Below are 17,592 nucleotides of genomic sequence, written 5' to 3'. Positions count from 1 at the left end.
TTGATTTATACTATTACTACCTCAAATTCTAACACTGTACTTGTTTTCCCATTCTATAAAGAAAATTTGATCCTAGTATATCACCATGGAACAGGAAGAAATCCCTGGCCTTGTTACTACCTGACAAATGTATTCTTAGTCCTATTTTTGATGGAGAAAAAGCTCTTTGGGCAACTGAATCTTAAGTTCTAACCTTCTAACCTAGAATTGCTCAGTAAGATTAACGTGAAACTTGAAATAGCAGAATGTTGGAGAAACTTAATGACTCTGCTCCTTAACCTCCAATCTAAGGCATATTCAGGGCCAATGCCAGTACCCGTCTCCTATCCTTAAATACTCCAGCTCTATAGCCGCCGCAGCCTGCCACTAACTTGACAGGCATAACAATATGAGAAGCAACAGTAAAGTAGCAGCTTTCCTAGTTTCCATACTAGAAAGCCTGAATTTTCCCTAGCAGCATTCTTAAATTGGCTTCCTGATGAGTTTGGAGGCTCTCCCTGTTTTCTTGTGATACTTGACCTTTACTGATCTATTATCTGGTTATATTATCTGCCTATGTGATACACTATAGCACAGAGCAGCCAATGAGGAAGAACACTGGGGTAATCCTTCAGAACATCTGAGCATTACTTCTTTTGTTTTTTGAGACAGAGTGTCACTCTGTCACCCAGGCTGGAGTACAATGGCGCGATCTTGGCTCACTGCAACCTCTGCCTCCTGGGTTCAAGTGATTCTCCTGCCTCAGCCACCCAAGTAGCTGGGATTACAGGCACATGCCACCAAGCCTGGCTAATTTTTGTGTTTTTAGTAGAGATGGGGTTTCATCATGTTGGCCAGGTTGGTCTTGAACTCCTGACCTCAGGTGATCCACCCACCATGGCTTCCTAAAGTGCTGGGATTACAGGTGTGAGCCACTGCACCCGGCCCATCTGAGTGTTACTTCTAAATTCCTTTCCCTGAAGTCACTGACATCATCATCACTTTCTTAATTCAAAACTCTCCTCACTACTCACTTCATGATTTAGAAACCTCTTATCTCTTCCAATTTACTTTTCCAGATTTACTGATCTCACTCTCCCTATAAGAACTCTATGTTCCAGGCCTTTAGAGGTAATCTGGGTTTCTGCAAATCCGTACCGTGCAGTTGACCTTTATATAAATGCCATTTCCCGTCCCTGAAAGTTCCTCCCCTTGAATTCTTCTCCATGCTAAACACGTGGCCCATCATTTCCTCCAGGATGACCAGCTCCAGTGAGGAAGGATGCTGCGCTCCTCTGCAATCCCACAGCACTGTTTATATTTATACTGTATGATAATTATTTGTGATGTCTCCTGTGTTCTACAATAGTGTAAGTTCCTCAATGGCACAGACCACATGCACTTCAGCTGAGGACTGCACACACCGCTCAGCAATGCTTTGCAGGAGCCCAGCATCATGGGACACTTTAGGAAGGTACGCTCCAGATACAGGCGTGTAAAAATGCACACGTCCTTTCAAAATGCATGACTGAAATTCAAACTCATAATAAAAAACTCAGAATAGAACCAGAGAGTTGCAATAGCAGGTTTTAACTAACATGCAAATTAAGCAAGTATTTCTTACTTTGAGCTGTAGTCGCACCCTGGCCATAAAGAATTTCCAACAGTTTTCCCTGGAGTCTACCATGCCCAGAGCATGAACTTCATTATGAATTCCAGAAATTATCTTGTCCACATCTTCATCGCTGAACAGATCTGGGATTTCTCCTGCCCCAAAGAATGAGTAGAATTACTAAAAGATCATTGCAATTTAAATTTTACATATAACTTTTAAACGTTTGAAATGTTTTACAAGACAAAGTTCAGCATAAATGGTAAGAGTTTAAAATCAGAAACGTCATGTTTCTTTTTTATTTACGAGACATACAACACGTTGAAGACGAGCCATGGTGAACACACCCTCTACACCCGTACGTGTAAGAATAACATTTACTTCACTGAAGGCCTTCTCATCCATAAACAGACTAAGAAAGCAATACACCTCAAATTAGTTAGGTTTATAGGTTTCTCCCCAAAGACTGCCCAGCAAACATCTCAAAGACGAATTCTCTCTCTTTAAAGTTCACTGAAACTACAGATAATTTGTCATTGGGGAAGATCTTTCAAGAAATGTGTTGGTTTAATCACCTGATGCCAGCAAGTCATTAATCAGCACGAGGAAGCTCTCATCTAGAACCTGGGCATCTGTCAGCAGGAACACAGTGGGCATGTTCTTGGCTCCAGTTCGGATGTACAAATTGGCAAGATCTACCTGTAAGGAAAGGCCATCACTCATGTTTTGTTAAAATGCTGATGCGGCGTTGAGAGGTTGTGTGTGAGTGCTGGGGAGAACTCAGTAACTGTATCGCCATAGCACTGTGGGGTGCCTTTCCCTGGTTTACATATTCCTTCTCTGAGAGACCCCATTCTAGGGGACAGCACTGTGACACCACCTCCATTGCTGACTCGTAAGGTTGAGTGTCGTGTTTCTGGCTTACTGGAGCAGAGGGATGAAAACAGGCTACAGATCACCAACTCCCTTCTCACTGTGTACAAGTGAATTCAGCGACGCCTTTTTCAGGCAGGGCCGTAAAAAGAAGCCTGCTCATTTTAACAACTGTCCTATTTTTTCGAAAACGGGTTTATTTCATTAGTAATATTAAAAATATGTGATTTTTTAAAACTTAAAATATCACTTGGCACAAATTGTAGGTACTATTTTGTAAGTACTATTGTTATTAAAAAGCAAAGCTTGAAAAACACACGAGAGTTTCCTAAACGTGTTATTCCTCTTGCATCTTCTTCTCCTGTTCTTATCCAATGTGGAAGAAATCTATTTTTACTTGTGAAGTTAGTGTCTTTTTTCCCCAACCTATCATACAGGAACACTAACAGCAATACGCATCAGGTTTGATTAATAGAAAACAGAAAGACATTTGTGTAAGCAAGTGTTTAAGTAAATATTTTCTGAGCCAGGTTTACATGTTATTAAACCTACACAAAACTTGTAGAAATTTATTATTACTAATTTGACCATAAAGGCAAAACCGCCAAAGGTCAATTACTGCTTTAAAGAGCTCCCGCTCTCCCGTGGTTGGGGAGGCCTTGGCCAAATCTGGGAGTCACAGCCCACACGGGCGCACTAGGAGCCTCGGCTTTATCTGCCAAGCAGAAGGGTCAGAAGAACTGCCTGTCCCCTTGACTCACCCGAAGTTCCTGGATTCCATAGCCCTCGGTCAGAGTGATCTGAAAGACCTCAAGGCCACGAAGGTAAGCTGCCAGCCTGGACAAGCTCTGCTTGCCACTGCCCCCAACTCCAACCAAGAGAGCACAGCCCTGAGGGGTTCGTAAGATCCGGCTGATGCGACACCTGAGGAAAGGAAGCGCCCATTATGGCACAAAATCGAAAATGCCCCGGGACTATGTCTGTTCTGTTTATTTTTATTTATTTATTTGCTTTTGAGATGGAGACTTGCTCTGTTGCCCAGGCCGGAGTGCAGTGGCGCGATCTTGGCTCATTGCAGCCTCCGCCTCCCGGATTCAGATTCAAGTGATTCTCCTGCCTCAACCTCCCAAGTAGTTGGATTACGGGCACTCACCACCATGCCCAGCTGATTTTTGTATTTTTAGTAGAGACGGGGTTTCACTATGTTGGCCAGGCTGGTCTTGAACTCCTGATCTCAAGTGATCCACCCGCCTTGGCCTCCCAAAGTGCTGGGATTACAGGCATGAGCAACTGCGCCTGGCCTGGGTCTGTTTTGTTTATTCTTTAGATAAATAGTATAGTGAGAGACTAAATTCCAGTTTTTACTGGAAACCTCTAGTCCTTGTTCATTTGTTTCCCCATCAAACAAAGACGCTACCTTCACCCTAACCCTTGAACTGCTCCCAAGACAAATCATCCTCTGCTAATAACACTTTGGATTCTCTTAGAGCTTTGTTGTCACCACCAAAAGTCCAAAAAGAAAATATATGCAAAGGCCTTGTGTTAAGGGCTTCAAAATATTTTGATTAGCAAGAAAGATCCGAATTCCACATCAGCACCCAAGTATGAGGACATCAAAGGGGGAATAGCCTTGTGCCAGAAATCTTTGCTGTAGAATTATTTTGGAAAGAATGGATTTGTTTAGACCAACAGATCTCTCTGTGTGATTTACTCAGCAAATCAAGCACTTGTTTCTTAATGTGATTCTTGCTTCCTTCACACTAAAGCCTTCCCTTGTAACTACACCATTGTAGAATAATTTGCTGAAGCCATTCAGTAACACAAAGTTAAATTTCCACCAAGGCCAACTAATCCCTTGTTCTATAATATCCAAGGCATTCTGAATGCTTAATCTATTTATATTATGCTATATTTTACAGCTATAAATAAACTCGCTTTAACTTTAGCAAAAGATGGGTTTGAAGAAATAGTTCATAATTATGTTATAAATATTAAGAAAACCAACAAAACAAAATATAGGCATGTAGATAGTAAAACACCCCAAATTTGATGCCATCATTTTGCTCTAGGGTGCTTTTCTGAAATGAACTTAAACTTCAGAACCTGAACAAACTGCATAAATTGTTTTAAATAGTGCTTTTTGAAAAAACTAAGTTGGGATCACTTATATTAGGACCAGCACATGTGAACATTTTCTGAAAACCTCCAGTAACAGAGAAGATAGGTTATTTTTACAAGCTCAGTCATCACATTAAATTTTACTTCACATGACCACACAACAAAACAACCTTGGGGAAAGCTATAAAATTACTCTGACATGAGAGATACCCCAAGCTATAAAACAGGGTTTTCATTTCATTTTAATGTATGCTTTGAGGCTTTTAACCTCACAAGATTCACTAAGTGGCAAAGTCCCTTTCTATAACACTCAAGGACACGCTCTGAAATCACCTCTAATGCTGAGTAAATCAGCTTCTAGCTCATAATCCCTGATCAAAGAAACAGCCTTACCTTTTAGGCCACTGAAAATTCTGTATTGAGGGATTATATGGGAAAACTCTTTTCCTCAGTATCAATGGGAGGTTTCTGTTTCACCTCAGCCAGGACGCCCATACACAATGACTGTATATTAACCCAACCCGAGACAGCATTACTAATAGTTGATTTAACACCATGGTTTTAGATTCCAACTGAAACTTCCTTTGCACAATCAGAGGAAGGATCACAACTGCAAAGGGATCAATAAAACTACCAACAGTTAGTTGTGGTGACAGGAAGGGCTCTACAATTTTTGTAGGTTCTAGGGCCTAAGAAAATTTTAAAGATTAATTCTTCTAAAAACTGAATTCTCCACATCTTATTTTCTCTGGATTTTTCCTTCTTCTTGTCTTTTATTTTTGAGAGACAGGGTCTCACTCTGTTGCTTAGGCTAGAGTGCAGTGGCATAATCCTAGCCCACTGCAACCTCGAACTCCTGGGCTCTAGCAGTCCTCCCTCCTCAGCCTTCTGTGTGGCTGAGACTACAGGCACATACCACCACACCCAGCTCATTAAAAAAAAATTGTAGAGATGGGGTCCCACTATGTCACCCAGACAGGTCTCAAACTTCTGGCCTCAAGTGATCCTCCTGCCTCAGCCTCCCAAAGTGCTGGGATTACAGGTGTGAGCCACCACACTCAGCCTCTTCTTGTTTTCAATGATTTCTTTTTTCTTTTTCTGTTTAAGTCTTTGGCTGTTGTCACTTATTGAAGTCTTCCTGCTGGTGTCAATGACAGATGAAGGTGACTTGGACTAGGAGAGCAGTATCGGATGTAAACATGTGATCAACTTTCTACACAGCAGTGGCAATGTTAAGCTGTTTAGCCCAGACACAATGAACTGTGTCATCCCCAGGGTAAAACCCATCCAACCACTTCTCACTGCACTTAGAATAAAATCAAAGTTCCTTATTCTGGTTACAAGGAAATACTTCGTATTGGTAAGGCCAGTTCCTGCCTCTCCATTTTTGTTATATTTTTCTCTATGCTGCAGCCTAACTGATCTTCTTTTCTGTATCTCAAACATTCTTGCCTTAGGGTCAGATGCAATCTGCTCTCTGTCTAGAATGTTCTTCCTCCAGATCTTTCCATGCTTAGCACCTACTTATCATTCAGGTCTCGCTTTAAATGTCACCTCTTCACAGGGATGCCCAGTCCCTCTTTGGAAATTCACTTATTGTATTTCTCACAGAATCAACCTATTTTCCTTCTTGGCATGACACATCACTTTCTGATATTTTTCTTGCTTATTCTCTTGTTTAGTTGTTCATGTCCTTATAAATGTCCATTTTCGTCGCTAACATGTAAGCTCAACTACAGAGGGGACTGGATTGTGTTCACTGCTGCTGTATCTCAGCACCTAGAACAATGTCCCATAGGAGGGCTGCAGATGGTTGCACAGTCTGTGCACTACATGAGGTACCAGGTCTAGGAGGTGAGCGAGAACCTTGTCAGCCATGCTCTATCCAAGGACAGATGCCTTTTTCTAATTTTCTGCCAAGAAAGCATGAGCCCTCCCCCATTTTAAAGAATTTGCACAAAATTGCTGAAAGGCTGGCAATGTTCCTATCTGGCACTCAACAAAACCTGCTTAATCAATGAAAATTAGTCCTTTGTCCCTTATGAACTATGTGACTTTGAACAAGTAATTTATGTTTCCACTTTCTTAATATTCAAGTAAAATAATGGATATGATGGCATCTCGGAAAACAGTGTGCCTATGTAAGACATTATTAAGATTGTGACATTAAAAAGCGACCCTTTTATATTTTAAAATTATATGTCAAACAGCAGATAAGAACTGATGGTTCAGAGTGCTTAGTATGATCTATTGAAAAATGACAGTAGTGGATATCCAGCCATTCTTCCTTTTGTGGAAAAGCATCGTGACTAGTTAACTCACACATGTTGCATGGCATCTTCAAACAAAACTAGGTGCATGGCAGCATTTAGTTCATTGTAGTTGTCTAACGTTTCTGTAAGAATCGTCTTCAGCACTTCCCAGTCCTTCACTGGCATGTAATGTGGGTCCTTCCCTCTATCAGCAAAGTGGCAATAAATGAGGGGCTGTTGAAGCAGCATGTGACTATCTATACCCTGCAGGATGAGAAAGAGAAAAATATGGCATGTCAACCATCCATAGAGGTCCAGCTGCAGGCAGCATGGCCTAGCAAGGGAAAAGCTTGCAGACCCACACATGGGTAGGTGGGTGGAATGTTCCCAAGCATAGACCAAGTGTATTCTGGATTCACAGCCATTGCAAAAAGGTAAGCCCTTGTGCACTTCTCTCATACCCTCATCTAACTTTAGTCCCAATACCCAGTTGGTGTTGGAGTAAGTAGTGACCTCTGACATTCATACGCTTACTTCAAAATATTTATAAGCAGTTTCCAGCATTCTTCTCTGAAACAAATCACAATCTTTTTTGTCTATCAGTTTGTCTCCATAAACACGGGCAGATTCATGAAGCCACAGATGTATTAAATCAAGTGGACCTTTTAAACACTCAGGAGAAGCAAATAAAATCCCCTACAAGGCAAGAATGGGGAAAATACCTTTAATTCAGAGGCTGATGACATGTCAAATGAGTTTAACACTTTTTAAACTAAAATGTGAACTTAGCAAATGGTTAAAAGAAATATCATCAATAGTAATGTGCGTGTTCGTGTATAAAAGTAGGTTTACTCTTTGATAAGTGCAATATTTTAAAATTTTAGTATGCTTATACCCATTTTTAGGTATGCGAGTAAGACCATTTCAAGTGCCAGCACAGGCACTAAATATCACATCTGAGTACTTGAGCCTATTAAGCCTTACAATGGACTAAGTTTACAAAACCAGAGTACAAACAGCTAACATGAAAGTCACAGAATCATATTTTTTTTACTATAAAATCACTTGATATCAGTCTAATCATTTCACAGATGAAGAATACAAGACCAAGAGTAAAGTGCCCAGACTCATACTTCATGGGTAGATGTGGGTCTAGCACCAACACATTGTGACTCCCTTGCTCACTCATGGTGCTTTCAGTATCTTAGATTCACACGCACTCACTCCTCATGGAGAGAGGCAGCTTACTCTGGATGCACAGGAGAACAGTAAGGGAGTTGTGGAGAACTGAGCTGCAAAAGGCTAAAAAATTATTTGGTAGTGTCAGGTGCAGCTGACAGGCAGGATATGAAGGGTGAGCAGGCAGTCCTCTCGTCCCATTTCACCTATGACCTCTCTTCCCTTTCCTTCTGAGATTAAAATTCTGCTTTTAAACAGCACGGTATTAAGCAATCTTTCTGGCAGGAGCTAGATACACAGACACGAAAAGAATTGCTCCGTGTTCATAAGAAGCTACTGCCTAATGCTGTGTTATGGTTTTGAGGCAGTTGTGGAGTGATACTGAAAAGACGGTTACAAAAATATAAAGAGGTCCTATGGAGTTTTCGTATTTCATCAATATACCACCTCTGTCACAAAAGAAATTTCAGCCATCCATTTTTACTGTACAGGGTAGACCACATTAGTCGGATTTAAAAAAATAATTCCAGACTTTCAATTTCCCCTTCAGAATTTCCTAAGTCAAATACATAAACACTGTCCTTTTACCAGGTAAGCAAGGTAATTTTCAATATTAAACCAAAATGATCCAACTATTTAAAAGTTGCTATTTCTCTTCATATATGTTTAAAATCACACATAAGTGCCTTATGCAAACACATGATCATTTATCCTTCTTACTTGGCACTCAAAACAGTAAGCACTCACTCACTCAATCTAAAGAGCCCAGACATCTACCTTTGCTTCCACTGCCAAGTCACCATATGCCATGGCCTGAACGGCCCCTACAATTCATGTCTTGAAACTTAATTGCCCATGTAACAATATTAAGAGGTGAGGCCTTTAGGAGGTGACTGTCATGAGGGCAACGTGATCTAATGAAAGGGGTGCTGGGCATTTGCCCGATTTGCTCTGTCCTTTCTGCCCTGTGAGGATGCACCACTTAAGGCACCATTTTGGAAGCAGAGACCAGGCCCTCACCAGACACTGAATCTGCCAGTGCCTTAATCATGGACTTCCCAGCCTCCAGAACTGTGAGAAATAAAATTCTATTATTTATGAATTACCCAATCTCGGGTATTTTGTCACGGAAGCGCAGACAAAGACATTATATGACCTGAGGAGAAGCACCGTTCTCATTGATGAAATGGAAATAATAAACCTGCCATACTTACTTCCTGAGAAGTTTATGAGTAAAGTTAAAGAATACATACAAAAGTATATAGCATAGTTTTAAGCTGTTTTATAAAGGAACACCGTTAACAGTATGGTAATGGTTTGGATGTGTGCCCCCTCCAAATCTCAGGTTGAAATGCGATTCCCAGTGTTGGAGGTGGGGCCTGGTGGGAGGTGACTGGATCATGGGGGCAGATCCTTCATCAATGGTTAGCACCATCCCCTCCGTAATAAGTGAATTCTCACTCAGTTAGTTCATGCAAGATCTGGTTGTTTAAAAGTTTGGGGACCTGCCTCCACTCCCTCTCTTGCTCCTGCTCTTGCCATGCAAAATGTGAAATGCTGGCTCCCCATCACCTTCTACCACGATTGTCAGCTCCTGAGGCCCTCACCAGAAGCAGATGCTGGGGCCATGCTAGCACAGCCTGCAGAACCATAAGCCAATTAAACCTCTTTTCTTTATAAATTACCTAGCCTCAGGTGTTTCTCTATAGTGACATAAAAAATGGGCTAATACATAGTATTATCATTATTTCTCTACTCAAGAGGCATAACATAGAGCAGTCAAGGTACCTGGAAGACGTTTGATAAATCTCTCAGATTAAAGATGTAGTGGAATTTAATAGCCGTGGGTAAAAAGTTACACATCATTGTCTGATGGAATGCTATTGTTGCCTGGATCAAAGTGGGGCCACTCCTGAGAATTGATGGAGCAAATGCTTGCTGTTGGAAATGGAAGCTAAAGATTTGGCCATAGATGGTGTTTAGTGCATCCAAAGATGGAAAATTGAATGCAAACACTGTGAAATGTCTCTGAAAAGAAAAGCAAATATAAGAGTGTAAGGATTACAATTGTACCAGAAAATTGCAAAGACCTGATTTTTTTTCACTCCTCCCTGTATCCAGGCCCATTACCATGTAGCTTTTTAGTGCTCCACTCTGACTCTGGGGTTGGCCATGTGATTTACTTAAGCCAACAGAATGAGGTGGAAGTGACAGTGTGCCACTCGTTGTCAGAGGTGTATATTTCTCCTTACTTTGTTAAGCCTCTGACTTTGCCATAAACTCTGCAGGCCCTAAAGTATGAGGGACACATAAAGCAGGGTCATGTTGTCACAGTCACTCCAGCCAAAGCCACATCAAATTAACTGACAGTTTATCCCCAACATGCACAGATGAGCCCAGCCAAGATCAGCAGTCACTGAGCTCAGTCTCAGCTGAGTCCAGATGCGTAAGCAACCACTGTATGCTACTGAATGTATGCTGGGGGTAGCTGTTGCTGTTGTCATGATTAAAAAGCTTCTACGCAAACACAAAACCTGCAAACAAATGTTTATAGCAGCTTCTTTCATAATTGTCAAAAGTGAAAGCAACCAAGGTGTCCTTCAGTAGATGAATGGATAAACAAGCTGTGATGCATTCATACAGTGACCACTATTCAGCAATAAAAACAGACGCACTATCAAGCCACGGAAAGACATGGAGAAATCTTAAATGCATAGTTAAGCTACGTGGAAAAAAAAGCCTATTTGGAAAGGCTACACACCCTATGATTCTCATCATATGAAATTCTGGAAAAGGCAAAATTTATAGAAACAGAGAAAATATCAGTGCCTAAGGGATTAATATCCAGAATACATTGAGGCTTCTTATAACTCAATGACAACAAAATAACCCAATTTAAACATAAGCACAAGACTTGAATAGACGTTTCTCCGAAGAAGATACAAAAATGAACAATAAGCACATAAAAAACATCACTAATCATTAGGAAAATGCAAATCATAACTATGAGATACTGCCTCACACTCATTAGCATGATTACTGTCAAAAAACAAAACAAAACAGCAAATAAATATGTGTGAGGATATAGAGAAACTGGGACCCTGATGCACTATTGGTAGGGAATAAAATAAGGTATAGTTGTCATGGAAAACAGTATGATGATTCCTCAAAAAATTAAAAGTAGAATTCCGATATGATGCAGCAATTGTATTGCTGGGTGTACACCCCAAAGAATTAAAAGCAGGGTCTTGAAGATACATTTGTTCATCCATGTTCGCAGCAGCATTATTCACATTAGCTAAAGTGTGGAAGCAACCCAAGTGTCCATCAACGAATGAATAACTAAGGAAAATGTGGTAAATACATGTACTAGAATATGACTCGGTCTTACATAGGAAAGAAATTCTGCAATATGCCGTAACTGGATGAACCCTAGACATTATGCTAAGTGAAATAAGCCAGCCACAAAAAGACAAATACTGGATAATTCCACGTATATGAGGTACTTAAAATAGTCAAAATCATAGACACAGAAAGTAGAATGGTGGTTGCCAGGGGAAAGTGGGGAGGAGAAAAAGGGGAGCTCAGTGGGTGGAGTTTCAGTTTCACAAGATGAAAAGAGTTATGGAGATGGGTGGTGATCTTGGCTGCCCAACATTACATATGTAGTTAATATTACTGAACTGTACACTTGAAATGGTTAATGTGGTAAATTTTGTAACATGTATTTTACAACAATAATAATAGAAAAGAAAAGACAAAAGATCAATTGTTACCAGGGACTCAGAGGGAAAAGAGAGAGGAATGAATTGGTAGAGTACAGAGATTTTGGGGCAGTGACACTATTCTATATGATACTGTTAACAGCTGATACTTGTCATTATATGTCTGTCAAAAGCCCCTGGAACGTATAATACAAAGAAGGAATCCCGATGTAAACTCTGAACTTTAGTTAATAATAATGTGTCAATATTGGCTGATCATTGTAACTAATGCAAGATGTTAATAATAGGGTAAAACAAGTGGGGGCATTAAGAGAGTACATAGGAATTATTTGTACTGCCAGTTGATTTTGCTATAAACTTTGATATAAAAAATAAAGTCTACCAATTAAAACAAAAAGGCTTATTAGAACCCCTGTCTGTTGTTAGTGGGAATAAAATATAGTACAGCTGCCATGAGAAACGTGCTTAACAAGATGTCCCATAGGAATCCTAAGCTGTACTCGAAAACAATACAATACAGACCTACAGTTTTTGAGAGCAGTATTCAACACCCTACCTGTAGCCTGGGATTGATGGTGAAGCTGCCCACCATCGGATTCATGCAGGCGACATACTGGCAGTTATGGATTTCTTTAAGCATCACCTTCTGTCTATCATACCTGAAAGACAGAAAACAGAACCTTAAATCCAAAAACTGGAGATGACAAAAGAGCAAAATCTAACAGTTCATAAAGGTCTTCATCGCAGATTACCTCCTTATCTTCATAATCACTCTGTGAGGTTGACCTAGTGAGCCTTATTTGAGAGACATCAAAACTGAAGCTCAAAAAACTGAAGTTGACTTAGCTCATTTGATGACAAAAATCAAGATCTGGAGCTGCGTCAATGTAAACTATTACTGCTTATTGATTCTCATGTTACTCTGTAGAAACTATCTTGTACCCATAGCAAGACTCCATGGATGTGCTGGGGGCTGTCCCTGTAGTTAATTGTCAGGGATTGCAGACTACAGTGCCCAAACATTTACACCCTGCCAAACAAGATCAAATTTCTCTTAAATAATTAAGTGTGAGTTAATTCTTAAAGAGGACATGATTTCCGGACAGTCTTAACATTTCTGAGACACTTTTCAATCCAATCTTCCAAAGATACAAAGGGAAACTATTACACTTAATATGATGAAAAGAGATACAAAGCAAACCCAAAAGATATTCCTTAGAAGAAACTGGGGATAATTGCACTTGAATTCATCCATAATAATTCATCCATAATAATTATTCATAATAATTATTCATCCATAGTAATTATTATCCATAATAATTATTAGATTTTGGGAGAGAGTAAACTACAGAGACTTGCTTACCAATGTCCATAATCAATATGCTGCCGGATCAGGGTGTGAGGCTGAACGGTGCCATATAAGTCCACTTCAGGCATGTTCATGTCGTCGATAAAATAAATCAATTTTTTATTTCCTCCAGGACCATAGTTATGACCAGCTTTTTTCTCTAGGGGTTTCTCAAGAATTTCTGAAATAAACATATATTTCTGTCCACCCATCAACAGAATGTAAATGTTCATTTAGTCATTTTTCTCTTGTTCTTAACTTCTTCTGTCGATTTCATCCACCCTGTGGTTTCAGGTATCGCCCCTTCATAGGTTAAGAGACCCGGGATGTGTCTCTGGCCCCTCCTTTTGTGTCGTGCTCTCCTGCCAATCTCCCTCCTGTTGCCAGAAGTCATTCCACCTCACCTTTTATGGAGACTGCAGCACGTGCAGCATGACATCACATTGTCATCACAGCTGAAACAACCCAATTGCTGATCTGCGTACTTCCTCCCCCGTACCCATTCTATGTGGCCACTGCTAGTCCAGCTATGGCCTGGTCTCTCAGTTCTCTTCTCTGTCATCTCTGCGGAAGAGTCTGAGAACAGCTCAGGAAAGTCTCCCATACCTGTCTTCTTAGGCCGCTGGAGTGCAGAGGCACAAGAACAGTGTGTGTAGACACTATCCACAAGGTAGTCACTATCCGTGAATACATAAACTTACATTTCTTCCTGTGTCTATATGACTTTGTGTCTATTTTTTTAAAGTCCTGGGTGAAGAAAATCCAGAACAGTGCGTGTCTGAGATGTAGTATCTGATTACTTGTTGACTCTCCAAACAGACTATAAGTATTTTGAGACCAAGGAACTATGTCATATTCATTGCTATACCACCGACAATGGCCACAATAAGTACTTTTTTTAAATGAGCAAACAAATAAATGAATGAATGAACAAAGAATCATAAATAAATAAACACCTTTTCCAAGAAGCAGACCCACATTTCCAAACACTTGCTGGGCATTAATTCTTACTAGCCATTACCATCCAACGTTCAGCCAACACTAAATCTGCCTCTTTTCCAACTCAGCTTAACATCATCTCTCCCTCACTCGCAATTCACCTCTTTCCTTTTGCCTTTGTGGTCCTGCTTAGGGGGTTAACATGCCCAGTCAGGCAGATGCAAAGCCTCCAGTAGTCTCTCTCTCCTGGTCCCATGTTTGTCCAACCACAGCCTATAAATGGTACTTCATGTCATTTCCATATGTTCCCAACTTGCCACCTCCTTTTCTACAATTCTGGTCCAGGGTCACATTACATATAGCTCTTATACTACTCAGGGGGACTGATCTCCCCAACTCAGATCTCTCTTCTCAAAAGACAGTGCCCACCTTGTCAGTTCCTTGCTTCCCTATCAATGGTTCACCATTTTCCATCAAATGAAATACAGTCCCCTCAGTTTGCATCTCAGCATTCTCTATAGTTGGTGTGATCAACCATCGGTGGTTGCCTGGGATTGTCCCAGTTTTAAAACTACAAGTCCCATGTTCCAGAAAACACTTTGGTCTTTTGGTGAACTGGACAGGTGGTCACCCTATCTGCAGTATAACTCCAAATCAGTAGCTTAGCCTTTTCCATATCTTGCACCCAATCACTATGCTTCAGTCATCATATTCAATTCATTGAATGTGTCCCACAATTCTCTCTCTTCCATGTCTTTGCTTAAGCTGGTCCTTCTATCCTAATCTTCTTTGCCCATTTGTTGCCCCAGCTCAAATGTTTGAAATCATAATTCTCTTTACAAGTATACTGACAACTACAGCTCTTTCTATTCCTCGCACTAATAGGCCATCTCTAAATCGTATTCATGCCTGTATTCCTTTTAGGAAATAGCAAGATGCACTCACATCATAGGTAATTTGTTCAACTACTGAACTGTAGCTTAATCTTCCATTTATAAATCATAGAGTCTTTCTTTCATATCTGCAAATGAAAAACATACCCTACACAATGCTTGGGAAAAAGTAGGTAAATAATATGTATTTTCTGAATAGATGAATGAAATAATTGGCTCTTTTTGGGGGACAGGTATCTCAATACATTGCCCGGGCTGGACTCAAACTCCTGGGCTCAAGCAATCCTCCCACCTCAGCCTCCTGAGTAGCTGGGATTACCAGCATGTACCACCACACCTGGCTTGAGTTGGCTTTCTAAGGGTTCCATTCATAAAGACAAGACCAAATGATTAACAAAAAAGATGACGGAAAAATCACTATTGGCTGTTAATGATGTCAATGAGTAAGAACATTTATTATTAGTCTCCACTGATATAGCTAAGGAAACAACATATATCCACATGTAAACAGATACCCCAGGAGCCCACATTCAAGGCAACTCAACAGTTTTAATAAACAACCGGATATCAGAGAGTCTGGTTGCCCCCCAACAGAGCCCCCTTTCCCTGCTGGAGATTGACTGGCCTTCCGACATCAGCTCTTTCGGTGATTTCCTCTCTACATCCCATGTCTCTTTTGCTCACCCTACCTAACTCTGGGAATGCCCCAAATCTGTGTGGTTCTTTTGATTACGTTGATTAGTTATTCAATAGTTCAAAACTAGTTCTAGTGATTTTAAGATTTCATTAATGACTCTTGGCTCTGTCATTTACTCAACACAGTTTTAATGAATTTCTCCTAAATTAATCTTTTACTTGAAAAAGTAACCAGAACATCCCTCCTTGAGTATACCCTTATATTGGTAAGACTCCATGCAATTAAAAGCAACCAGTGGTTTCGAGGTAACACATTAACACTATTGATGTATATTCTTGCTGTTCTAAAGCATAATCACCCAAATAAAGCCATGAGTGACATAAAAAGCCAAAATCACAACAATATTTAAACAACGTATATTTAACAAGGATGATAAGTACAAATTCATCTAAGGCCCAAGCAACAACTCTAAATTCTAGGGAAAGGCATTATTAGTCTTTTGGGCTGCATGTGCCCGCCTTGATGATTTTTGATCCCTTGTTTCTAGAAAATAAACAGGTGCACTTACTTTGCAGAGCTGTGGATGTCGTGTAGTAGTTGAAAGGCACACGGGATACTATGTAATCCTCAGAGAGACTTGCCAATGTGTCACCTACAAAGACTGTTTTTCCCACTCCTGCATTTCCTACTAGCATTAGAGGTTTTCCTTTCTCAAGCAACAACTCCATGAAATATCTAAGACGAGCTGTCTCTGTTGTGTGAACGAGAACTGTCTGGGAGGAGAAACAGAATGAGACAAAGATCAGAAAGAGAGAGAGAGTGCGTGCGAGAGAGAGGCATTCCAAAATTTTATATCAAACTCAACACAGTCACTTTATAATTGAAATCCAAATAATTCATAGTTCAGATTAGCACCCAACAGGAGAGATTCCACCTTATTTTCAATTTTGAATGGTTAGAGTTCAGACATTGTAGCTTGAGGAGAGCAATTGGATAATGCCATCAAAGTACCATAAAGTAAACAACTGATTTATCATTTCCAAATTAAGTACTAGCCCCCAAGGCTCCTAATTCCAAAATACCTACTCTCTGCCCAACATTGGGGTAAGCACAGAAGGGAATATAGTAACCATATAAGAAACTATCTACAACATTTCAGGAGATGAGAAAATGTTCAAGAAGTCAAGCCACACACAAATGAAAATCGGGACCAATGCCTTAGCCTGGTTTGTTTGTTTGTTCTGAGACGGTGTCTTGCTCTATTACCCAGGCTGGAGTGCAGTGGCATGATCATGGCTCACTGCAGCCTCGACTTCCTGAGCTTAGGTTATTCTCCCACTTCAGCCTCCTGAGTAGTTGGGACTACAGGTGTGCACCACCACGCCCGGCTAATTTTTTTTATTTCTAGTAGAGATGGGGTTTCACCTTGTTAGCCAGATGGTCTCGATCTCCTGACCTTGTGATCCACCCGCCTCGGGCTCCCAAAGTGCTGGGATTACAGGCTTGAGCCACTGCACCCGGTTGATTGTGAGTTTTTTGAATGACTATTTTTTTTGAGACAGGGTCTCACTCCTATACCCAGGCTGGAGTGCAGTGGCGTGATGATGGCTAACTGCAGCCTTGACTTCCTGAGCTCAGGTTATTCTCCCACCTCAGCCTCCCAAGTAGCTGAGACTACAGGCATGCACCACCATGCCCAGCTAATTATTTTGTATTTTTTGTAGAGATGGGATTTTGCCACGTTGCCCAGACTCGTCTCAAACTCCTGGGCTGAAGTGATCACCTGCCTCAGCCTCCCAAAGGGCTAGGATCACAGGTGTGAGCCACCATGGTTGACTCAACTGAATATTTTATACACAATTCTAGATCATCTTCATGTCTGAACATTTACTCTAGAACTTCATTTTAATTCAGTGATACTCAGGGCTTACTAAAAGACAGACTGTTCTGTGCTAAACAGTCCTAGACAACTCTTTAAAAAATATTCGAGCTGCATCTCATATTTTTTCCCTTTCTTGCTGCTAGTTGTCATCATTT

General features: G+C 40.6%; 1 protein-coding gene across 1 annotated transcript in view; it reads right to left on the bottom strand.

Moving 5' to 3' along the window:
• Positions 1 to 17,592, bottom strand: part of DNAH11 (dynein axonemal heavy chain 11) — a 358,801-nt gene that overhangs the window by 149,872 nt on the left and 191,337 nt on the right. Inside the window, exons 46-54 of the mRNA NM_001277115.2 lie at positions 16,124 to 16,328; positions 13,102 to 13,267; positions 12,295 to 12,397; positions 9,802 to 10,041; positions 7,369 to 7,530; positions 6,905 to 7,098; positions 3,226 to 3,388; positions 2,167 to 2,290; positions 1,604 to 1,746 (exon numbers count right to left, since the gene is read on the bottom strand). Of these exons, the coding sequence (NP_001264044.1) occupies positions 1,604 to 1,746; positions 2,167 to 2,290; positions 3,226 to 3,388; positions 6,905 to 7,098; positions 7,369 to 7,530; positions 9,802 to 10,041; positions 12,295 to 12,397; positions 13,102 to 13,267; positions 16,124 to 16,328 (1,500 nt within the window). The remainder of the gene's footprint in view (positions 1 to 1,603; positions 1,747 to 2,166; positions 2,291 to 3,225; positions 3,389 to 6,904; positions 7,099 to 7,368; positions 7,531 to 9,801; positions 10,042 to 12,294; positions 12,398 to 13,101; positions 13,268 to 16,123; positions 16,329 to 17,592) is intronic.

Source organism: Homo sapiens, chromosome 7, assembly GCF_000001405.40.
Source record: "Homo sapiens chromosome 7, GRCh38.p14 Primary Assembly".
Lineage (NCBI taxonomy): Eukaryota > Metazoa > Chordata > Mammalia > Primates > Hominidae > Homo > Homo sapiens.
This window is presented reverse-complemented; position numbering and strand designations above follow the sequence as displayed.